Source organism: Homo sapiens, chromosome 17 (assembly GCF_000001405.40).
Source record: "Homo sapiens chromosome 17, GRCh38.p14 Primary Assembly".
Lineage (NCBI taxonomy): Eukaryota > Metazoa > Chordata > Mammalia > Primates > Hominidae > Homo > Homo sapiens.
The window spans coordinates 77,172,312-77,196,990 of NC_000017.11; the positions used below are offsets into that span (position 1 = coordinate 77,172,312).

General features: G+C 44.5%; 1 protein-coding gene across 7 annotated transcripts in view, besides 2 other annotated features; it reads left to right on the plus strand.

The window, feature by feature from the left end:
• Positions 1-24,679, plus strand: part of SEC14L1 (SEC14 like lipid binding 1) — a 128,417-nt gene that overhangs the window by 83,627 nt on the left and 20,111 nt on the right. For 6 of the 7 annotated variants that reach the window (NM_001204410.2, NM_001204408.2, NM_001143998.2 and 3 more), the window contains 5 exons: positions 18,492-18,641; positions 18,870-19,001; positions 21,110-21,238; positions 22,366-22,600; positions 23,891-24,000. In NM_001204410.2, the coding sequence (NP_001191339.2) occupies positions 18,492-18,641; positions 18,870-19,001; positions 21,110-21,238; positions 22,366-22,600; positions 23,891-24,000 (756 nt within the window). Of the gene's footprint in view, positions 1-12,901; positions 13,073-18,491; positions 18,642-18,869; positions 19,002-21,109; positions 21,239-22,365; positions 22,601-23,890; positions 24,001-24,679 lie in introns of those variants that run through there. The other variant, NM_001144001.2, reaches the window with a different exon arrangement.
• Positions 13,488-13,989: an enhancer, noted in NCBI's record as "H3K4me1 hESC enhancer chr17:75181881-75182382 (GRCh37/hg19 assembly coordinates)". NCBI's record gives its function as "activates a minimal SCP1, AML or CMV promoter by ChIP-STARR-seq in naive H9 embryonic stem cells {active_cell/tissue: H9 hESC(naive)}" and the evidence as "EXISTENCE:reporter gene assay evidence [ECO:0000049][PMID:30033119]".
• Positions 13,990-14,489: an enhancer, noted in NCBI's record as "H3K4me1 hESC enhancer chr17:75182383-75182882 (GRCh37/hg19 assembly coordinates)". NCBI's record gives its function as "activates a minimal SCP1, AML or CMV promoter by ChIP-STARR-seq in naive H9 embryonic stem cells {active_cell/tissue: H9 hESC(naive)}" and the evidence as "EXISTENCE:reporter gene assay evidence [ECO:0000049][PMID:30033119]".

The following is a 24,679-nucleotide window of genomic DNA, read 5'->3' on the forward strand; positions in this document are numbered from 1 at the left end:
TTCTCTTTTTCCCATCTGGGACATTCCTTTTTAAAGTGGCCTATTTTTCCACACTTGAAGCATTTGTTTTGCCCTTTTCCCTCTCTACTTTTGGGTTCTTTGGCTGTGCTGTTTTATAGCCTTTATATGGCCTGGAAAGTGGGGGCTTAAGTTCTTTATAGGTTTTGGCCCCTGAGTGTTCTGTTGTGGGGCGGACAGCATGATCCTTGCTTTTTGTTTTTGCTTTTCTTTTCCTCGTCTTTTCGTACATATACCTTTTGAGCGTCTCTCAAAAGCTGCTCTATAGATTTATCTTTCCAGTTCTCTATTTTCTATAACGTGTTTTGTGATGTCTGGCCAACTATTGGTAACAAAATGGAGCTTTAACATCCCCTGCCCAAGAGGGTCTTCTAAACCTAGACCTGCATATATCCTCGCTTGCTCCTTGAGCCTTTCTAAGAACTCTGTAGGTCCTTCATCCTTCCCTTGTTGTATATAGAAAGCTTTGGGAATGTTTTGGATGCGGAATACAGATTTTTGAGTTCCTTTAATTATCAGTTCTCCAAGGTCTTGCATATTCCTCCAGTAGGCTGCGTTGTTACTATCCCATTGAGGATCTGTGGCCGCAAGTTTTTGCTCAGCTGCTGGGACGTTCTGACCTGGGGGATGCTCACGTTCCCAAATTGTCATAGCAGCCCTGCGAATCATGCTCCTGTCTTCTCCTAAAAAGCGAATACCTAGGATAGACATTAGCTCAGCCCAAGTATATATCTGGGGTCTGAGAAATTGATTAATCTGGTCAGCCACTATATAAGGGTCACTTAAGAGTGGTTTGAGCTCCCTTTGTAGGTTTCGGACCTCTGAGCTAGTTAATGGAGCATTTAGCCTCCTCTGAGGGGCACTTCCCTTAAGGGGAAGAGAGTTGGAGCTAACTCTTTAGAAGTGGTGGGGAAAGGGAAGTTTTGAATATCCTTTTTACATTGTTCTGTCTCGCACCGAAGTCTTCCTGGGGGAGGGCCCTGAGGCTGGGAATGATTCCAGGAGTTAGGATTATAAAGAGGGGGCACAACGTGAGTCGGGGGAAGGGTCCAGGGCGGCTGCCTGAGGGGGAGGGAGGTGAGAGGTATCTGGCTGAGGCAGATGGTCTAAAGGATCCCATGTGGGTTGCTTAGGGGTGGGGGCCTTAGTTTCTATAGGGTAAGTAGTTTCTGGCTTATTCTTACTGGCTTTGAGGGGGTAGAGGTGGACAGGCCCCTGCCGTCAGCACAGGGCATAGCGTATCTCCTCCTGAGGGACAGGACTCTTGTTATTCACATACTCTATTAAAAGTTGACAAATCCAATCCTCATTTGACCCAAACTGTAGCCAGAAAACTGATGGTTTGAGGATAGTTTCCTTAGTCCAAATAAAACAACAGTATTTTATCATTTGTTGCTTTTTCTTATTTTTAGTCCTTTCATTATCTTTCCAGTATTTTAGCAGGAGACCTAAGGGGCTGTCCCGGGAAATTCTATTGTCTTGCTTGGGGTATTTCGCATCCTGGAGAAGGTGTTTTTTTGAGTTTGTGAGGCTCAACCTCTCTTACTAGAGATTTCTTGCACCCTTTCTTTTTTTCTTTTTTTTTTTTTAAGGTGGAGTCTTGCTCTGTTGCCCAGGCAGGAGTGCAATGGCACGATCTCCGCTCACTGCAGCCTCTGCCTCCTGGGTTCAAGCGATTCTTCTGCCTCAGCCTCCCAAGTAGCTGGGACTACAGGCACACACCACCACACCTGGCTAATTTTTTGTATTTTATTTATTTATTTATTTCCTTGGTAGAGATGGGGTTGCACCATGTTGGCCAGGCTGGTCTTGAACTCCTGACCTTGTGATCTGCCTACCTCAGCCTCCCAAAGTGCTGGGATTACAGGCATGAGCCACTGCGCCTGGCCTCTTGCACTCTTTCTTTAGAGGCCCAACCCCCCTTACTTGAGATTTCTTGCATTCTTTTGCTTCTGCTTAATCCTTCTCTGGCTGCTTCCTTTGTGGGAATTTTCAGGTCCCCCTTAGCGTTGGTGGGTCGGTATGATCCCCCGACAGGCAAGACAGGCAAGCTGTCCTAAGCTGTATGAGGTGACCACGGAACCACAGATCCGGACTCCACACTCAATTGTGCGTCTCATTCACACACTTTCAACCTCCAGGATGTCCTGACCACCAAGGAAATACTGCACTGCCATTGTGTTTTTTCTTAACCTTTGTCTCTGCACAGAGTTACCTGGTCACTGTGGTATTTGTAGGCCTTTTTCTCCCGCGTTGCTAAGCGTCCGGGTTTATTCGTCACACCAGGTGGGTCTCGATCCCTAACCCTTGAGGCCACCACAACGAGGCAGTGGGACCTGTCTCCTCACGAGTGAGGACTGGAGACCCTTCCCCAGAGGAGAATGGGAATCCTGGATGGGCCCCCAGATTGTTGGGAACAAGTAAGCTGTGCTCAAGAGAAAAACTAGCACTGAGACAAAGGATTTCTCAGCAAGGCAATTTACTTTTGCAGAAGGGTGCCGCCTGCATCTGTTACGACTGCAAGAGCACACTGAACAAAGGAGGGAAGGGGTTTTTATCCCTAACGCAGTTCCTGTCGGTGTCCTTCCCCTGTTGGCTAGGATTGGACTGTACAATCTAAACTGATCCCAGTTGGCTAAGACTTAAAACTTTTTTGAATAGGATAAACGCATGATTTGTAAGAGAAAGAGGGGATAGGAGCAGTCTGTCTGTTACAGTACAAGGTATGTCTGGACTTGTGTGAGCATGTCAGGGCACAACAAGAGCAGGAGGGTTGTTTGCAGGCCAGAAACAAGAGAGTATAAGGAGGTTGGGCTTCTGAACAAAGAACAAGGACGTTACACAGTTAAACCCTTTGAAGAGGAATTCATCATCTCTGGCGCTAGTATTGTTGCAGGATTCAGGAGGACGAGAGAGAGATCTCGGGTTAAAACAGGAGAATCTTTTATTGAGTGCACTCAGGCCCAGCAGATTCACACCCAAAGGTTGGGCTCAGAACAAAGACAGCACTTGACTTTTATACACACTTCACAGAAGGGGGTGGGCTAGCTAAAGCAAGCTTATAGTGGCGTGAAAGCAGGGATACAGAGGTGGGACAAAGACAGTTAATTAAATCGTTACAGGTTCATAACTCAGGATTGCACATAACTGTTGCTATGCAACCCAGATGTCCGTTATCTGTGTTTGCCTAGGCATGGACTTATCCTATAACCTTCACTGTGGTGCCCGGGCAGCTGTAGTTCCGGCCTACTCAGGCTTTTCATGACCTTCATTGTATTTCTTAGATAAAACAATACTTGAAGTCACTAGTTACAGAGAACAGGAATCTATAAACTCATTCTATAAAACAAAGAAAAATTTGTTTTTTCTTCTCCCTGTGTTGAGGGAGTGCTGGGAAAGTCTCCAGAGCACATTAGATAATATTATCAAGACTTTTCCTGGGTCTCGGCTGTGCCTGTTGCTGCCTCTGGGACAAATCAGCCTAATACAGGAAAACTTATTTCTCTTTCTTTTAAATTTTATTTTTCTTTAATTTCCGGCCTCCGTGTAGCTGAGCCCAGGGCTTTTTATGGGCTCAGAATAGGGAGTGTGTGCTGATTGGTTTGTGAGTATGCAAAAAAGGTTAAAGTGAAGACACCACTCAAAGGTGGGCATGATAGTGTAGAAAACCAATTAGGAGACTGGACATGGTGGCTCATGCCTGTAATCCCAGCACTTTGGGAGGCCAGGGTAGGTGGATCACCTGAGGTCAGGAGTTTGAGACCAGCCTGACCAACATGGTGAAACCCTGTCTCTACTAAAAAGGCAAAAATTAGCTGAGCGTGGTGCTGCACACCTGTAATCCCAGCTACTCAGGAGGCTGAGGCAGGAGAATCACTCAAACCCAGCAGGCAGAGGTTGCAGCGAGCCGAGATCATGCTATTACACTCCAGCTTGGGCAATAAGAGCGAAACTCAGTCTTGAAAAAAAAAAAGTAAACCAATTAGGAAAGGATAGGTATATGTAAAATAGGTGAAAGACGGATCAATCAGAGGAAACTGTGCCAAATGAGAAGGTGGGTTCTCAGTCCCGTGTGAGGATTTACCCAGGACTCTCTCCAGATTGAAGGTTGGATTTCACTGGGGACCTGCTCCTGTCTGCCTAGGCATTTGTCTGCCTCCTGCCTCTATCAGTATGTTTGTTAAAATTGATGAACTAATATTGACAACATTATTTTTTCCCCACTGGATGTCTCTTACACAATAATTATGGTTTTTTGTTTGTTCGTTTGTTTTTGAGACAGAGTCTCGCTCTGTTGTCCAGGCTGGAGTGCAATGGCAGAGTCTTGGCTCACTGCATCCTCCACCTCCCAGGTTCAAGTGATTCTCCTGCCTCAGCCTTCTGAGTAGCTGGGATTACAGGTGCCTACCACCATGCCCGGCTAGTTGTTGTATTTTTAGTAGAGACGGGGTGTCTCCATGTTGTTCAGAGTGTTCTTGAACTCCCAACCTCAGGTGATCCGCCCACCTTGACCTCCCAAAGTGCTGGGATTACAGGCGTGAGCCCCTGCACCTGGCCAATTATGTTATTTTTAACTAGAATCTGTAGTTTAGGTTCACTCTGTGTTGTACATGTCTTTGGATTTTGACGATGCAACTTTACACATCCTTAGAAATCCTTCTGATTAAGAATGAAGCAAAGACATTTTTTCTTCAACTTAAGTTTATTATTTTTTCAAATGGTTACTAAGTTATTAGGACATAAATGCTTTTTAAATTGTTTGGACATAGTAACTTAATAAATCATCAATTTTTTTGGTCTTGAGGCACCATGAAAGTTACTGAGACATCAAGGAACACATGTGACAGTGCTGAAGGACAAATGTACCCAGATGAGCTGGTCAGGAATGTCTGAGATGATTATGTTCAGGACAGTGAGCAAATTTAAAACATAGAGCCCCCGGGCTGATGTCTGAGATGTCCGTATTGAGATCGTTCAGAAATGTAACAGACAGTAGAATAATGATGGGCCTTATTTTTCTAATTTAAATTTAAATGCAAAAGATACAATTGATCAGGCATACTAGATTATACTTTGAATTTCATTTGAAAGCTCAGTAACTCTATGTCAGCCTATTAAATAGTGTTAACAAAAGTTTCCAGGTAGTCTTGGCTGGAAATTCTTGAAGAAGAATACATTAAAAGTACTTTAAGAGAAAATATTCCAGAAGACCTTGTTAAACCAGTTTTAGCTATGGTTAGTTGCATGTATGTTAGTTTCAGCAAGGAGAGAGGGAATAGTGTTTGTCTTTAACTAGAACAATCTGAAACTGACCCCCTCTTAAAACATTATATCTAATGCTAGATCTGAATAGTAGTCTTGCTTTAGCCAAATGTAGACATGCTAGTGTTTTAGCAGATGATTATTTTTCTTTTGAGCATAATTTTTTGTTTTTATTCTTGTTTTGTGCTTATAGCAGTGGTTCAAAACTTAGAAGCTGTAATCCTCTGCTGGATACTGTGAAATAACTGACATATACCTAGTTCTTTTGTATGGACCAGGAACAATTTTGACAGGACACATGGCTGTCCTATGAAGAGTATAAAATCATAGCCACTGTCATTGGGGGACAGAGTTGGGGGTGTCACAGAGCTGTCAAATTAGGTTTGGTGGGTAATGCCCTAGTTCTTTGCTAAGATTTGCTTGCCTGCCCCTTTGTACTCGTGGCTTTTTCCCTTTCTTCCCCTCCCCCCCCCCTTTTTTTTTTGAGTGCAGTGTTCATGCACTAGCACTTGTTTCTAGGACCCAAAGGTTTAGGGAAATTTATGGCAGAAAATCTTAAAGCGGATGGAGCTGTATTTAGTAGCAGCTTCTCTTGCTCTTGAGGAGGAGACCGTCGTCAGTAATTTTGGTTCATAGCACTCCCATCCCACCTGCCACTCAGAGCTGCAAGAACACGGCCTTCCAGAATAGAGTCAAACACAGTGTGGGTGTCACTAACTTGAGTTATTTTAAGAGGTCAGGAAACAAACCTACTACTGTGTGTTTTTTGACATTATTTTAAAATATAATGTGGATAAATCAGATGAGTGACCTCTCTGTGGAATTAAAACTTTTTACGTGTGAAGTTTTTAATTTTGTGGGTAATTTTTTCAAGGTCCTTTAGAATTGTGTCACTGTTGCCTGCTAATAAAGTCATGTGAAGGTCTCTGTTAAAGCAGTGGTCCCCAGCCTTTTTGGCACCAGTGACTGGTTTTGTGGAAGACAGTTGTTCCACGGATTGTGGGGTGAAGGGGGATGGTTTCGGGACGAAACTCTTCCACCTCAGATCATCAGGCATTGGATTCTCTTACGGAGCATGCAGCTTACAGAGCGTGCAGCCTCAATCCCTTGTGTGTGCAGTTCACAATAGGGCTCTCACTCCTGTGAGAGTCTGATGCTGCCACTGATGTGACAGGAGGTGGAGCTCAGGCAGTAATGCTGGCACGCCGGCAGCGTGGCCACGTTCTCAGCAGCGCACGGACCGGTAGGAGCTGGGGACTCTCTGTGTGTTAAACGAAGGTAGTCCAGGTGAAGTTCAGCATAGGCTGGAGGGTGGAACACACAGATGGTCGCTGGATGTAGTGACCTTTCCTTGTCACAGGCTTAACACCCCAGGTGGCACGGATACCTTGAAGAGCCATGCTGTTTCCTAAGAGAAAACGTGGAATTTGGAAGAGATTTTGAAGTTTCTTTCTCCTGTCCTCTAGCAAGAATATATATCATGTCTGGAACTCTTGGAGCAAAGGAGTGGGTGTACGAATGGAAGAAGCTCCGATGGGTTGATGCAGAATATCTCACAGCCCTCCCGGTGTTGGCCCATTCCCTGTCTGTTGTGTGGTATGATGTGTGTTGAAATGGCTCCTTGATCAAAAGTAAACATAGCTGCTTTATACCATTGCGTGGTAAACTGTGAAGGCAGGCATTGAGAGAGGGGTGGTAAAAAGAACCTATTCCTGGTCAAAAATGCTAAAATACTTGGAAGTGCAAATGTTTTGGTGCGTGGCATGTGAGCAACATGTTTACTGTCTGTTCTTTCAGCTATAATTAATGCCTTCCACGATACTCATCATAATCATACCTTAATGAGAAGGCCCTAGAAAAGAAACCCAACCTTTTTTGTTGGGTTACTTCGCATCTATCATGATACTTTTTCCTTTGATTTTATAGCACTTTAGGATGAACTTACTTTTCCGTGCTAAATGTTAGCTTTGGAGAAAGTGTATCATCAGAACCATGGAGTTTGAGGTCTTCTAAGATGAAGTTCATAATTTAAGCTTTATATGTGTTTGATCTCAGAAATGTCTTGGATTATGTCAAATTTTTACTTTTTTTCTTTTTTTTTGAGATGGAGTCTCACTCTGTCGCCCAGGCTGGAGTGCAGTGGCGCGATCTCGGCTCACTGCAAGCTCCACCTCCCAGGTTCATGCCATTCTCCTGCCTCAGCTTCCCGAGTAGCTGGGACTACAGGCGCCCGCCACCACGCCCGGCTAATTTTTTTTTGTATTTTTAGTAGAGACGGGGTTTCACTGTGTTAGCCGGGATGGTCTTGATCTCTTGACCTTGTGACCCGCCCGCCTCAGCCTCCCAAAGTGCTGGGATTACAGGCATGAGCCGCCGCGCCTGGCCTACGTATTTGTTTTTAGGTTTTTATTTTGTTTTGTTTTGTTTTGTTTTATTTTGATGTTATGTTTTGTTTTGTTATGTTATGTTATGTTATGTTATGTTATGTTATGTTATGTTATGTTATGTTACTTTATGATGTTATTTTTTTGAGAGGGATTCTCACACAGTCACCCAGGCTGGAGTGCAGTGGCGTGATCTTGGTTCACTGCAACCCCTGCCTCCTGGTTTCAAGCGATTCTCCTGCCTCAACCTCTCGAGTAGCTGGGACTACAGGCACCTGCCACCATGCCCAGCTGATTTTTCTGTTTTTAGTAGAGACGTTGGCCAGGCTGGTCTCTTAACTCCTGACCTCAGGTGATCTGCCCGCCTTGGCCTCCCAAAGTGCTGGGATTATAGGAGTGAGCCACTGCACCCGGCTTGTTTTTAATTTTAGTATTGTCATTGTATTTTCTTGTTTTTGTTTGAGATAAGGTCTGGCTCTTTCACCCCGTTGGGAGTGCAGTGGCGTGATCATGGCTCACTGTAGCCTCCATCTCCTAGGCTCCCGCGATCCTCCCACCTCAGCCTTATTTTCTGGTTTGATCTAAGCGCAGATTACCAGTCTGCTGTTGTGACTTGATGCGTTTATCTCACTGAAGACTGGTACCCGAGGCAGCTGACTTTGGTTGAGGTGTGGCACTTCTTTCCCTAGTTAATGTGCATGCCATGTACCATTGTGAGTTTGCCAGAAGCGGCCTTTGATCCTAGCTGTGGTTGCTCTGGGCTGTCAGTATTTGGACAAGTGGACGGGTATGCCGTAACTGCTGGGATCCTGACTTTTCTTTGAAAGGGCTCAAGTTTTTATGAATTTTAGTTTTTATAAATACCTTATTAGGTATGAACACATATTCACAAATAGCATGCAATTTGAAACCTCGGTTTACCAGTGAACTAAACAGAAGTTGTTTCTCTTGGTAGCCTTCTGATGAGGAAACGAGGTGGGGTACAGGAGCCTACAGAGGACTGAATTGTGATTACAAGTAGTCTTCCTGTGTCCTTGTCACTCTTACGGTCTAGAAGTAGCTTCGATGTTTATTTGCTTGGAGTTTCAGCAGCAGACCGCGGTGCTTGAAGCTGTTCATGGAATGACCGCTTGTGTCTGAGCCAGCGTCTGAGGAAACTGATGTTCTATAAGTAGGTCTGAGAGGCTTCTCTGGAGTTGGCCCATGTCTTGCTCCCTCTTGCTGATGCTCTCCCTGCCAGGAATGTTCTTCTCTCTCTGGGTTTCTCTTTAGAGCCCTCTGCAGACATCACCACCCCAGCAAAGCCCTCTGTAACCATCCAACCTGAAGTGGTTTCCCCCTGAATAGCTTAAGCAGATTTCTTTTTGTTAATACAGTCCAGTTGGTATTAATCACCTTCTTTCTCAGTCTTCTTTTCTATTGCTGTATATAGTTATACATTTGTTTTTGTTTTTGAGACAGAGTTTCGCTCTTGTTGTGCAGGCTGGAGTGCAATGGCACAATCTCAGCTCACTGCATCCTCCGCCTCCCGGATTCAAGTGATTCTCCAGCCTTGCCTCCTGAGTAGTTGGGATTACAGTCATGCACCACCATGCCCAGCTAATTTTGTATTTTTAGTAGAGATGGGGTCTCACCATGTTGGCCAGGCTGGTCTCAAACTCCTAACCTCGGGTGAGGTAGTCTACCCACCTCAGCCTCCCAAAGTGCTGGGGTTACAGGCGTGAGCCACCCCACCCAGCTAGTTATGAGTTTTTCTGTCTTGCCTCTCTAAATAAGCCATGTTCCTGTGCCTTCCACTTGTATATTCCTTAGAATTTTTAGTATAGGGCCTGCATGTGGTAGGCCCTCTGTAAAGAGCTGTTACTTTGATAGTGTGTGAATTATAGAATTAGAACTCTGAGGGACTTTGGTCAGTTTGCCACGTTTTCTTTCTTTTTTTTTTTAATGCAGCCTACAAAGTTGGACACATTTTCTTGATATGTTGAATACTTGTTTCTTTGAGCACTGGCAGCTTGTAGAGAGACTGAGGCCGTAGTTAGTTGTCTTACTTACTGGTTCTTTCCAGGGTAAAACCAGATCTGTGTATAAATGAGTTTGAGGGTCGTGTCTGATGCTGTAGAATATCCCAGTGGTTGCATGGAAAACAGCTGGCTTGGTGTGTTGGCTAAACTGGGTATGAACATAGCTCATGTTAAAGGTAGGCTCTTTAGGTTGAGTTTGTTTTGAATGGGTTTTTCTGGTGGAGTGCAGCATTCAGCTCATTAATTTTCAAGTTGAAATGTCGTCACAAAAATATGGCTTTCTTTAGCACAGTACTAGCTTTTAATATGTCAAAATTGCATTCAAAGGTTGGTTAAAAGCTGAAAGTGCTGTTGCCAGCCTTCCAAATTGCAGGCTCAGAAATCCCTTTTGAAAGAGGAAGAGTGGGTGTAGGAAGGTGGGAGGAAGCAGTTACCCGGGAGGAGCTTCCTCTCAGGGTCAGGTTGATGAGGCCCTAGTTTTGTTTTTATTACTGAAACAATTGCTGTGTAAAAATGAGTGAGCAAATGATTACAGTAGTTATTTGTCTTACAGAAATAATTTTTCCTTTAAAAAGGATACATCAAAGAACCTTTCTCCCTCTCTGAGGAACTTACTTCTGGGAGAGTTCATTTCGTCCAGCCTTTCTTGACTGTGTGTTTGGTAAATGTTGGGCGTGATTAGGAAATGGCTGGATGACACTGTGGATACCTGGAAATTGCTGCTGCTCTTCCGGCGCAGTGATTTGAACCTGGGAGAGTTGAAAAAGGGGTTCTTCCCACATTCTTTTAGTGCAGAGATAAAACGTGAAGGCCTGCTGATGTGGGCTCTGTGGCTCAAACGGGGTTTTAAAAATAGAGAAGCTTTCCAGAAAAGTCCAGGTTGCTGGCTTTGCTTGAAAAGCATAAGCTCCCCAGGCCGCTGCTCCTCCTAGCCCCAAGGAGCTGGAGCCAGTGCTGAGGCCCCAGGAGAAGGCCCCGTCCCGCTGTGCTGCGCACCAGGCCTGCCACCACCTCGACCAGAGCTTCGGGCAGACCTAAAATTTGTACACGTTTTCACATCTAAAACGTGGCAGTGTTGTATTTAATGAGTTATTGCAAAAGACAATAAAAACTGTAGGTTGATTTCTTGGTTTGTACCAATCTGTGTAGCCTCTGACTCTGTCATAAAAGCAGGTTTTATTTTACATGTGGACTTTCTCCCCTAAAGCTACCTTTTTCAAACTATTAATGGCTTTCCAAACTTTTTATTATGAGTAATGCTCATTTTTTAAAAAGTTGGTAGAAAAGTACTGTGAACACCTGTATGCATGTCCGCTAGGTAAATTAGCACATTTGCTTTCTCTGTCTCTTTCACAAACACATGTGCACATACATTTTGTAGAAACATTTGAAAGTAAGTTGCTTTATGTCATGACACTTTACCCCTACATACTAAAACATGTATTGCCTAAGAATAGATATTCTTCTGTCTAGCTGTGATTATTATCACAGGCAAAGAATCGTGCACCTGTGGTCCCAGCTACTTGGGAGGCTGAAGTGGGAGTATCGCTTGAGCCAGGAGGCGGAGGATGCAGTGAGCCAAGACTGTGCCACTGCACTCCAGCCTGGGTGACCAGAGTGAGACCCTGTCTCAGAAAAATACAAATAAAAAATAAAAAAGTGTTATTCAATATGAAACGCATGGTTGCATTTCCTTGGTTGTTCCCCAGATGTTTCGATAGCTATTTTTATTCCAATCCAAGAGCTAATGCAGCATTGCATTTGGTTGTTCTCTCTTTAGATGCCTTTATTCTAGACAGTTCCTTGCTGCTTCTGTTTATCTTTCAAGACTCTGACATTTTTTTTTTCGTTTAAGCGTCTAGGGTGGTTGTGTAGACTGTTCCATAATTTGGGTTTGTCTGATGATTTCCTCCCGAGTAGCTGGGATTATAGGCATGCGCCACCACGCCCGGCTAATTTTTGTATTTTTAGTAGAAACATAGTTTCACCATGTTGGCCAGGCGGGTCTCGAACTCCTGACCTCAGGTGATTCGCTTGCCTTGACCTCCCAAAGTGCTGGGATTACAGGGGTGAGCCACCATGCCCGGCCTTATTTCCCCATGATTAGCTAAGGGTCAGCCATCTTTGTCCTGAGGGCCGCAGAAGCCTGTGGTGTTTGTGTCTGCTTCCGCTGCATCACGCCAGGCTCTGTGGCTGTCCTGTTGCTGGGGCTCAGTTCAGTCATTTGGTGAAGGTGGTGCCCATGAGATCTTTCCATTGTAAAGGTACCCACCTTTGTTCCTTTGTTAAATTTATCTGTAACCTGCAGGATGATAATTTGAGGCCCTGTCTCTTCTGAATGCCTTACGTTAGCATTCATTGATGATCCTTGTCTGAATCAGTTATTGTGCATTGGTGGCTAGAAAATGGTGATTTCCTAATTGGCAATCCTTCTGTGTTGATTAGATTTTTTTTTTCCTGAAAAATTTTCTCCCCTGTTGAGTATCACTATGTGGTTTATAATGCTTTGCCACCCTTTTTTCTTTCTGGTGTTCAAATTATCCCAGACTTGGTGAGTGGAGCCCCTTCAGGCTGGTTCCTCTGTCCCTTGGGCATATGCCCATCTGAGCACTCCCTTGCCTCCTGGTGAGAAACGTTTCTGCCTCGCCTTGACCTTCCCTTGCTCCAGACTTGTAATCAACCGCACGGATTCCTTTGTAATAGGGACTGGTATTTGGAAATCAAGATCTGGTTGCCAGGTTTGCTCATCATGAACTGAGATGTCATTGCTTTTCACCCCTTCCAATGGAAAGAGCTAGGAGCTAGTACATAGATTGATGTTTTTAATCAAATTAGAATGCTTCTGTTTTTCAGGGCCTGCTTACATACTTTGTAGAAACTCGCGTGGCTTGTAGCTCATGCTGAAAAACTCAGGTTCTGGTACCTAAGCCATCCCAGAGATGAAAGTTACATCTACTTTTTGCAGTCTTTTCATTTCCAGAACCCTCCACAGTTAGAATTGTGTATGCTGACAGTATGCAGAATCTACTGACCTTAACATATCTCTGAAAGACGGGTCAGGGTAAGAGAGTGCAGAAACAAAAGGCAGGACTTATCTTTTTATTGAGTAAGATTGTATTGTATGCTTCAAAACATGTTTTTTGGACAAGGACTTTGTTTTAGGCATTGAAGTCCTCGTTCTCCTGAGGATAAAAAGTCTCTGCCCTGCAGCCTAGCAGTGCATTTGGTGGCAGAGTGACAGGCTTGGAAGAGAATGTGGAGGGAGTAAGGGAGGCGCTTGCTAACTGCCCCTGACGCTGACAGAGCTCTGGAGAGGTCAGTGCAGCTTCTGAGTTAGCTGCTCCTTAGCCTGGATACCTTAAATGCCATCTGGTTGGGCATGCCAAGGTAAAGTGAACGTCTGTGCAAATATGAGTCTACGTGGATGGAGAATTTTACAGGGAAGGGAACGTTTTTAGTGTGGTTGAAATTCAAGGTGAGGCTGCGTGGGTGACACCTTATGCTGACCACTCTTGTTTCAGGAATTGGAAGGATGGTGTGTGTATTTTGAAAATGGCCTAGTTCTAGCTAAGGCTACCTCTTAGTAAGTGCTTACTCTGCCCTATATGTCACTTAAAAAGATTCATTTTGTTTGAAACCTTTGTAAGTCTCAATTTCTTGGTACGTCACAGTACTGGAATGTACAAAGCCAGTTTTTTTTGTTTTTGTTTTTTTAATTAGAGTGCAGTGGAAGTCAGTTTAGATGGTTTTCAGTGTCCGTATAGAACAAATGGTAGCCAACCTGTTTTCCTAGGAATTGTTCGTGTTCGGTACTTAATAAATTCTTAGGGCTTTGAATGGGACTTATCTGTGGTGGGATCTGAGCAGGTGATTAAACTGCTTAAGTGTTGTTTACATAAAGTGTATGAAGAGACAGATACTGAGTGATTTTTCAAGATTCTGGCAGTAATGGGATTCAGAACATGTTTGAGTAGAAGAGGGGAGCAGATAAATATAAAGAATATATTTTTAACTTCCAAAGTAAGAACATTTAAGAAGCAAATATAATTGGCTACCACATGTGGGTTTTGCATCCTTTCCAGACCATCCTGCGCATGAGTCTCTTATTAATTTTCTGAAAATGTGACTCTGGCCACCTGTTCGTGCTCCCTCCATCCCAGCTCCTGGAGAGGAAGGCCAGGGCCTTCTGTCTGCACCCGGCAAGGCATGGTCTATGCCACATCGTCATGCACCACAGTGACCCCTGGCCTCACCTCTCACCACTTCCCTCCCCTGGGGGCTGTGGGTCCTGCCGCCACCTGAGGTTGCCTTGCAGTCGCACTCCTGAGTTCTTTCCTGGAAACGCTCTCCGCCTCGCTGGCTGTGAACAGACCCTGGCACGCTTTGAGGCCCAGCCTGCATGCCTCCTCTCTCTCAAAGGCTTTCCCCACGCTGCCTCTCCACGCAGAGCGTGTTCTCCCCCTTCTGCCTCCTGGCACCTGCTTATCCTTCTGACCCTCATGGATGTCATTGACTCCCTTCCCTCCCTCCTGTACTGACTACCATGGTCCCTTGTGCGTAGGCAGCTGGAGTGTAGCATGTGCTTTTCACATCGATTTAACCTTGTAACGTTGTGGAGAGAAAGTGAGATACAGGCAAGAAAACTGAGGGTGACTTTGAAGGAATTGTAGTAAAAACCCAGGCGGAGGAATTCCTGTGATTCTCTAGTCCTTCTGGGATCTTGATGGCAGTATTTGTGATCTGTGTATTACTTCTGTTCAGAAGGGCAGTCCTGTTGAAGGTAAACATCAGGGAATTGCTGCCAGAAAGGGAGTGTTTTTAGTATAATAATGGTCTGAAGCTACTTGTACCTTGTCAGAAGTAAAATCAAAGCCATTTGTGCCATTTTCATTAATATTTTTAACACCAAAGGTTTCTTCCTTAACTCTGTTTTTGGTTGTGATTAATTTAAGATGGGAATTCACAGTTCTAACCTCGCCTCATTTTTAGTACAGGTTGAGCATCTCAAATTTGGAAGTTCAAAGTCTGAAATGCTCCAGATCAAAAACTTTTTGAGCACTGATATGATGCTCAAAGGAAATGCTCATTGGAGCATTTTGGATTTCAGATCTGTGGATTTGAGATGCTCAACCAGTAAGTATAATAGAGCTATTCCCAAGATCCGAAAAAATTCTGAAATCAGAAGCACTTCTGGTCCCAGGCATTTTGGAGAAGGGATGCTCAACCCATACAACCTTACAGAGGGGTGACATCTATCAGTCAAGCAAGAGTCATCCTGCAGTACCTTCCTTTATAATGGGGCCGACCACAGGGGCAGGCACTGGGTTTCCTTTTTCAGGTTCCTTCTTACAGCCTAGATTCTTACTACCCTATGCCCCCCCCCCACACCCCTTTTTTCTGAGACGGAGTCTCTCTCTGCCGCCCAGTTTGGAGTGTGGTGGCACCATTTTGGCACACTGCGGCCTCTGCCTCCCAGGTTCTAGTGATTTTCCCACCTCAGCCTCCCAAGTAGCTGGGATTACAGGTGTATGCCACCGTGCCCAGCTAATTTTTGTATTTTTGGTAGAAATGGGGTTTCGACATGTTGGTCAGGATGGTCTCAAACTCCTGGCATCAAATGATCTGCCTGCCTTGGCCTCCCTAAGTGCTGGGATTACAGACGTGAGCCACTGCACCCGGCCTTATTCTTATTACCCTATATCCTATGACTTCCAGTTCACATGCACCATGGGCTACTGGAATTTTTTTTTTTTTTTTTTGGAGACAGGGTCTTACTCTTACTCTGTTACCCAGGCTGGAGTGCAGTGGTGCAATCACAGGTCACTGCAGCCTGCACCTCCTGGGCTCAGGTGGTCCTCCCATGTCAGCCTCCTGAGTAGCTAGAACTACAGGCATGTACCACCACACCTGGCTAATTTTTATATTTTTTGTAGAGATGGGGTTATGCTATGTTGCCTAGGCTGGTCTCAAACTCCTGGGCTCAAGTGATCTGCACGCCTGGGCCTCTGGATCGCTTAGGTTTTAATATGAATTCTGCAACATCTTTAGTTTGGTAATCTTTGTGGATTGCTACAGAGTAAATTAAATTATTTACAAAGAATAATATTGAATAATTTAATTATTCACAAGGAATAATCTTGAAAGATCTCATGTGTTCTTTACTCATCTTCCCCCAGTGATAACGTCTTGCAGAACTGTGTGCACCAGCACAGTCAGGATGCTGCCGTGCGCATAGTCGAGACGCAGAGTGCTTCCCAGGCATCTCTCTCATGGCCCTTTTACAGCCACACCTGCTTCGCTCCTGTCCCCACCCCTTCCTTAGCCCCGGCAACCACTCTTCTGTTTTCGGTTTCTCTAGTTTTGTCTTTTCAAGAGTGTTATGGACAGGGAATCATACCGTATGTAACTGCTGAGGCTTTTTTTTTTTTTTAGCTTAGCATAATTCTCCCACGATTCATCCAGTTCCTCACCTGGATCAATAGTTCATTCTTTTTTTTTGCTGAGTAGTGTTCCGTGGTGTGGCTGCAGCGCAGTCCATTTAGCCTCACTCAGGAAGGACATCTCGGAGTTGTTTCCAGTTTCTATTATGAGTAACGCTGCTATGAATGTTTGTATATGGGGTTTTGTGCGAACATAAGCTCTCATTGCTCTGGGATAAATGCCCAGGAGTGCATTTGTTGGGTTGTATACCGTTGCATGTTTAGGTTTTAAGAAGATACCTGTTTTCTGGAGTGGTTGCACCATTTTACATTCCTGCCAATGATGTGGAAGGGATTCAGTTCTTCCACATCCCAACCAGCACTGTGTTTTATTTTAGCCATTCTGATAGTTGTATAGTGATACTCCTTTGTGATTTTAATTTGCATTTCCCTAATGGCCCTTTTCTCTAATGAACATCTCTCGTGTGCTTATTTGCCATCTGTGTGTCCTCTCAGGTGAGATATCACTTCCTGTCTCTTGCACATTTTCTAATTGGACTTTTTAAAACTCTTGAGTTGTTTTTTTTTTTTAATCATGGTAAAAGCACATGAAATTTACCATCTTAACCATTTTTAAATTTCAATTGTGTGTCAAAAGACAAAATTACAAAAAAATTTAGTGTATGGATCTTAATTGGCTTTTTTGATTCCAGAATCAGGCAACACCTCATTCTATAAAACAGAATTCTGTGAAATAGAATGAGTGTTCTCATGAGCTGAGCAGGGGAAGCTGGCTTTGTAGACAGAAAAGGGGTGAGGGAAACAGACACAGAGAACAGAGAGCAGATGGGTGGTTTCAGAGTGACTTCCCTTGTAAAGGTTAACGCAGAGGGGACTTCCTTACCACGCTGGCCCAAACTGGCCCATTTGGGGGATTTGCTGTTCTCTTTCTCCTGACTTCTTGCAAAGTCAGATAAACAACTTACTTTTGGCTTGGTGGTATGGAGGTTACCAAGAGGGACTCCATTTTGGTTTGGTCTGCTGGGCCTGGTGCAGGAGCTCAGTCCAAACCAGTGTTCTCCTGGCTCACTGTATTTATGTTGAGTTTTAAGAATTTTTTATGTATTCTAGGCACTAGTCCTTTGTCAGATACATGGTTTGTAAATCCCTCCTCCCATTTTGTAGTTTGTTTTTTCATTCTCTTAACAGGGGTTTTGTTTTGTTTTGTTTTGAGATGGAATCTCACTCTGTCGCCCAGGCTGGAGTGCAGTGGCGCGATCTCGGCTCACTGCAAGCTCCGCTTTCTGGGTTCACGCCATTCTCCTGCCTCAGCCTCCTGAGTAGCTGGAACTACAGGCGCCCGCCACCACGCCCGGCTAATTTTTTGTATCTTTAGTAGAGACGGGGTTTCACCGTGTTAGCCTGGATGGTCTCAATCTCCTGACCTCATGATCTGCCCACCTCAGACTCCCAAAGTGCTGAGATTACAAGCGTGAGCCACCGCGCCCGGCCTTAACAGGGTCTTTCGCTGAGCAAATGTTTTTAACTTTGAGGAAGTTCATTTTATATATTTTTTCTCCTGTGGATTGTGATTTTGTTGTCACATCTAAGAATTCTTTGCCTAGCCCAGGATCCCAAAGATTTTCTATTTTTTTTCCCTAAAAGTTTTAGTTTTGTGTTTTACATTTAAGTCGCTGATCTTTGAGTTAATTTTTATACAAGGTGTGAGGTTTAGATCAAGATTCATTGTTATTATTGTTTCAGCCTATGGATGTGTAATTGCTCCAGTAACATGTTGAAAAGACTGGCGTGCTTTCTTTCCCTCATTGCTTTTACATCTCTGTTGAAAATCAGTCGGTGTTCCCTGACAGGTGCAGATACTAAAAAATAAATCAGTTGGGTGTATTTGTTTGAGTCTATTTCTGGGTTCTGTATTTTGTCCCATAGATCTGTATGTCAGTTACCCCTCTCCTAATACTAGATGGTCTTGATTACTGTAGTTATAGAGTAAGCCTTAATACCGGGGTGACTGATTCTTCCCAGTTTATTCATCTTTTTCAAAATCGTTTTAGTTGTTCTAGTTCCTTTGTCTTTCCATATAAATTTTAAAACAATCTTGTCTATAATTACCACAAAGTCTTGCTGGGGTTTTGTTAGGAATGATGTTACTTATGGGGAGAATTGAGATCTTTACTAGGTTGAATCTTCCGATCCATGGACATGGAGTGTCTTTTTCTTCTTTAATGAAAGCTTCAGATGTGAAGACAGTTGTGGCGCTGCCTGTTGCCGTGCACCGAGAGGTGCTGTTCCAGGGAGAACACAGTCAGCGGCAGGACATCAGGTTGTGTCTTTGCTCACTTCTGCTTTCTTGGTTTTTAAATTTATAGGCCTATGAAAGGAGGTTCCCTACATGTCCTTTGATTCCGATGTTCGTGGGCAGTGACACTGTGAATGAATTCAAGAGCGAAGATGGGGCTATTCATGTCATTGAAAGGCGCTGCAAGCTGGATGTAGATGCACCCAGACTGCTGAAGAAGGTAAAGGTCGGAAAGGACGTCTTGGAGGGAAAGGGCGTCCTGGTGGGAGAGGGCGTCCTGGTGGGAGAGGGCGTCCTGGAGGGAGAGGGCATCCTGGAGGGAGAGGGCGTCCTGGAGGGAGAGGGCGTCCTGGAGGGCAGCCCCCAGAGACAACATGAACTTATACTATAGCTTCTGTGCTATTGGTTGTTATTAATAAACCCATTTCTCTTTCTTTTTTTTTTGAAGATTGCAGGAGTTGATTATGTTTATTTTGTCCAGAAAAACTCACTGAATTCTCGGGAACGTACTTTGCACATTGAGGCTTATAATGAAACGTTTTCCAATCGGGTCATCATTAATGAGCATTGCTGCTACACCGTGAGTAATCTGTCACTCGGCGGAAGATGTTCTGCCGACATATGGCTTCTGAGGATTGTTTGATCACCATTTTAAACAGTGCATCTTTTTGTCTTAGAGGGCAGTTCTTCATTAGATGTTGTCACTCATTTCTCATGTGTAGGAGGAAGGGTAGCAGGTGTGGTCTCCTGCAGAGTGTATTATGTTGTCGTGGCAGTTAAGGCAGCCAAGTGATGCCTTGATTTGGTTTTGTTTTTTTTTTCTTTTTTGAGACACAGTCTCCCTCTGTCGCCCAGGCCGGAGTGCAGTGGTGCAATCTCGGCTCACTGCAACCTCTGCTTCCCGAGTTCAAGTGATTCTCCTGCCTCAGCCTCCCTAGTAGTTCGGATTACAGGCAAGCGCCACCACGCCAGGCTGATTTTTGTATTTTTAGTAAAGATGGGGTTTCACCGTGTTGGCCTGGCTGGTCTGGAACTCCTGACCTCACGTGATCCACCCCTTGGCCTAATTTTTTTTTTTTTTGAGATGGAGTCTCACTCTTGTCACCAAGGCTGAAATGCAGTGGCACAGTCTCAGCTCACTGCAACCTCTGCCTCCCAGGTTCAAGTTATTCTCATTCCCCAGCCTCCCAAGTAGCTGGGATTACAGGCACTCGCCACCACGCCCGGCTAATTTTTGTATTTTTAGTAGAGACAGGGTTTCACCATGTTGGCCAGGCTGGTCTCCAACTCCTGACCTCATGATCCGTCTGCCTCGTCCTCCCAAAATGCTGGGATTACAGGCGTGAGCCACCACGCCTGGCCTTAAATATTACATTCATATGCCACTTCTTTTCTGGTCTTACTGTAATATGTTAGAAATATCTAATGAAGGACTAAGATGTGTGCCTTTAAGAATAGTGCCGAGAGTGTTTGTCTGTCTCAGTATCTTCACTGCTTACCACCCTGTTTCAAGAACTTCTTTTATCAGATTTTTAGAATACTCTCCTGACAGATTGCTGTATTTCTGCCCTTCTCCCCTGCAGTGTATCCTTAACACTGAATTCAAAGTGATCTATTTAAAGTATGTCAGATTAAGTCACTTCTATGGGCTCAAAACCCTGGAGTGTTTCCACAGTTCGCCCAGAGGAAGAGCCCATAGTCTTTATGGTGACTTGCAAGGGCCTGAGTTCTCTCCTGGTTACGCCTTTCCTGTCCTTGCTGTCATGCAGTGGGCCTCCCCCAGGGGCTTTGGCTCCAAGGTGCTCGCTGTGCCGTGCTATTCTTCCCTACGTCTCTAGTCTCACCTCCTCCCATCTCGGCTCAGGTCACCCCTTCTTGGCCAGCCCCAGCCACCCATTTAATTCTGCAGCCTGACTCCCCAACCCCCAGGCTTTTTTTTTTTTCTTCAGGGATGGGATCTTGCCCTGTCGCTCAGGCTGGAGTGCAGTGGAACAATCAGTTCACTGCAGCCTCCACCTCCCAGGCTCAAGTGATCCTCCTGCCCCAGCCTCCCAAGTAGCTGGGACTATAGGCACATGCCACCGTGCCTGGCTAGTTTTTAAATTTTTTTGTAGGGATGAGGTCTTGCTCTGTTGCCCAGGCTGGTCTCAAACTCCTGGACTCAAGTGATCCTCCCACCTTGGCCTCCCAAAGTGTCGGGATTGCAGGTGTGAACCATCATGCCTGACCCCCATCCCTGGTTCTTTTAGCCTGTGCTCCAAGTTTTCTTTTTTCCATAGCACTTACTTATCTTTAATTTCCTTGCATACTGTGTTTCTGGCTGATTGTCTCCTCTGTTAGACTCTGTTGAAAGCTTCCAAGGCCAATACCTCTTTGTTCATGATGGAGAAGACTGTTCAGTGAGTATGTTGAATGAATGAATGAAGCAAGAATGAAAATGAAGCTCTCCTTTTATAGTCATCTTTGAAATGTTTTTGAACAATTATTTGGATCTCTTCATGATTTAGAATGTGCTTTTGATCCTGATTTTGAACATGATTTTGGCATTTTTTCCATCTGCTGTCTTTATGGTAGTAGCATTGTTAGTAACGTAAGTGTTTTTTTCTGGTTACTGGTTAAACTGAGGAGCAGGCAGATGATATTCTGTTGTCAATTCAGTCAGTGAGAGTGCTTTCTCTTTATCTGCAGGTTCACCCTGAAAATGAAGATTGGACCTGTTTTGAACAGTCTGCAAGTTTAGATATTAAATCTTTCTTTGGTTTTGAAAGTACAGTGGAAAAAATTGCAATGAAACAATATACCAGCAACATTAAAAAAGTGAGTGTATCTTGGGATTTTGTGGCAGAGGGTGGGCAGGAGTCTCTGAGATGACCATCTTTTTGGAAGGCTGGGGATGGCTTAGCAAGGGATTTGCAGCATTTCTTGGGTGGAAGATGCTATGATCCCTACCCCCTGCCTCATCTTTAGGTATAGGGGTTGAGGTTGTGCTGGTTGCTGATGGAGGAAGGAGGTGCCTGTAGCTCTAGCAATGGCACTGTCTGCCTGGAGTTGCTGAGAGAGTTAGAAGTTGGGGAGAGGCAGCAGCAGCTGGCACACAGCCCCCAGGCCTTGCTGCAGGATTGGGAGGAGGCCTGGGGGCCTGGGGAGGTGCTTGCCGAGCAGGCTGCCCCCCTTGGATTGTCAGTTCTTCCACAGAAGACCTTCCTTTCTCGTTTTTGTGCTGTTGTTCATCAGTTGTTAGGGAATTGTGGTTTTGAAATCTATCCGTGTGGGATTATGGAGTGGTTTTTGAAGGCTCATTTTCAGGGTACTGTGTTGGAAAGAATTGAAATTGAGACAGAAATCATATATTGAGTACAAGTACCCTAAATCAGCATTTTAAAATAGTCATATAAAAATTCCATCTCATTAGATACCATTTCCTAAACCTTGGAAAATAACAAGTAAAATAAACAAAAACACAGAAGCATTTGGCCTTTTCTTTTTTTCTATTAATTTTGTAGCAATTCAGTTTTATTGGTGTTTTAAAAGCTTGTGAGGGACTGGGCGCACTGGCTCATGCCTGTAATCCCAGCACTTTGGGAGGCTGAGGTGGACAGATTGCTCGAGCCCAAGAGTTCGAGACCAGCCTGGACAACATTGCGAAACCCCGTATTTACAAAGAATACAAAAATTAGCCGGATGAGGTGGCATATACCTGTAGTCCCAGCTACTGGGGAGGCTGAGGTAGGATGGCTTGAGTCCAGGAGGTCAAGGGTACAGTGAGCTGTGATCATGCCACTGTGCTTTAGCCTGGGCCACAAAGCGAGACCCTGTCTCAAAAAAAAAAAAAGATTGTGAGGCTCACCATCTTCCGTTGGCTAGAAAAAAAGAAAAATCTTGGGAGAGATGAGTAATTTGAATGTTGAATATATACTCACCTTTAAATTGGTTTTGTTTTAAAGGGAAAGGAAATCATCGAATACTACCTTCGCCAATTAGAAGAAGAAGGCATAACCTTTGTGCCCCGTTGGAGTCCGCCTTCCATCACGACCTCTTCAGAGACATCTTCATCATCCTCCAAGAAACAAGCAGCGTCCATGGCCGTCGTCATCCCAGAAGCTGCCCTCAAGGAGGGGCTGAGTGGTGATGCCCTCAGCAGCCCCAGCGCACCTGAGCCCGTGGTGGGCACCCCTGACGGTGGGTCTGGCAGGGGCTTCATCCCGAGAGCAAGGCTAGGGAAGTCGGCGTTGCCGTTTTCTCTCTGTTTGCTCTGCCTGTTCCCGCTTCCTTGGAACATTAGATAACTCAGAAAGGAAAGACCCGTCTCTCGTTTCTGGCCCTTGTCCTCTCGCTTATGTAATACATTCATTTTACCTTTTATTAGATTTTTTGTTAATAGGAAGGATTATATCAAGTTATTTTTATTCTTTTATGGATACCAGAAGGTGTTTGTTTGTTTGTTTAAGAAATGGGGTCTCACTGTGTTGCCCAGGATGGTCTTGAACTCCTGGGCTCAAGCAATCCTTCTGCCTCGGCCTCCCAAAGTGCTGGGATTATAGGTGTGAGCCACCACACCTGGCCTAAGGAAGGTGTTTTTTTTTGTTTGTTTGTTTGTTTGTTTTGAGATAGAGTATTGCTCTGTTGCCCAGGCTGGAGTGCAGTGGTGCCATCTTGGCTCACTGCAACCTCCGTCTCCCGGGTTCAAGTGATTTTCCTGCCTCAGCCTCCCGAGTAGCTGGGACCACAGGCATGTGCCACCACGCCTGACTAATTTTTTTATTTTTTTATTTTTGAGATAAAAAAGTCTCTGTCGCCCAGGCTGCAGTGTAGTGGCACAATCTCGGCTCAGTGCAGCCTTCGTCTCCTGGGTTCAAGTGATTCTCCTGCCTAAGCCTCTTGAGTAGCTGGGATTATAAGCCTGCACCGCCACGCCTGACTAATTTTTATATTCCTAGTAGAGACGGGGTTTCACCATGTTGGCCAGGCTTGTCTTGAACTCCTGATCTCAGGTGATCTGGCCACCTCAGCCTCCTGAGTAGCTGGGATTACAGGCGTGAGCCACCAGATTTCTTACATTCTCCAACACAGTAGCTCCATTCAAAATAGATTTAGATTTGCTTGGCTTTTTTTTTTCCATAAATTTTATATCTTGCAAGTCCTTTTTGTGTTATGTTCCTCTTGGAATTAAAACAGTCATTAATATCTATTATAGTCATGAATAGTATTGTGATTTGGCAATAGAGGTAACTCAGTGGTAATCAGGGAAAGATAATTGAGTCAGAAAGTGTACCTGTGGTTTAGTCAGTGATTTGATCTCAGAGCCTATCCCTCAAGTCCTCTAAGGAATCTGGTTTACATCTGCCATCTCTGCGGTTTCATGTGCCTCTAGGACTCTAGGACCACACGTTAACTCCACTGAGCACAAAGACTTTGGGAGCCTAAAGCTCCAGTGTTCTTTGTTGTAAATAAATGTCACTTACATTCCAGACAAACTAGATGCCGACTACATCAAGAGATACCTGGGCGATTTGACTCCGCTGCAGGAGAGCTGCCTCATTAGACTTCGCCAGTGGCTCCAGGAGACCCACAAGGGCAAAGTGAGTGTCAGCACCACACCCAGTGTGCAGGGCCAGAGCTACGTGAAATCATGGAATCTCTTTCTGTCATAGTCACCAAGAGTGATATTCCCAACTTCCACGGCTGGGAATGTTTCTTCCAGTTTAGAAGTCATTGAATTTATGTCTCTGTGGAATCTAAGTCGTTTATAGCAAGTGATAATGCATGACTAACTGCATTTTTCTAGACTTTACAGAGCAAGGTCTGGCTACAAACAGTGTCACGTCACAAAGCAACATGTGTTCCAAGTATTCACACATTCAAATTTTCAGAAGGTGTAAAAAGAGTTCAGAGATTTATCAGAGATTAGAAATGTTTGAGCTTTAATTTTCAGGTTTTTGGTGAAATTTTAGCCTCATAAAGGTGTAAATTTTTATGGTAAGCCTTATGTAGTGAGCAGAGCCTGGTATGTGTCTAGCGAGTTATTGGCATTATTTAGTAAAGGGAAACTAGGCATTGCATGTATTTGGCCTGATCTCTAATTCTGTCAGCCTGCTTACTAGAAACCAAATAACTGAGTGCTGTTGAATACCAGTCATCAAGAAAACCACTGCAGTGATGATGGCCACCGTTTGTTGTCTTCTTACCATGTATTAGACACTGTTTTCAGGTCTTTATTCCATCCTTCCGGCAGCTCTCTCTGCTGCTGTTTTTCTCACT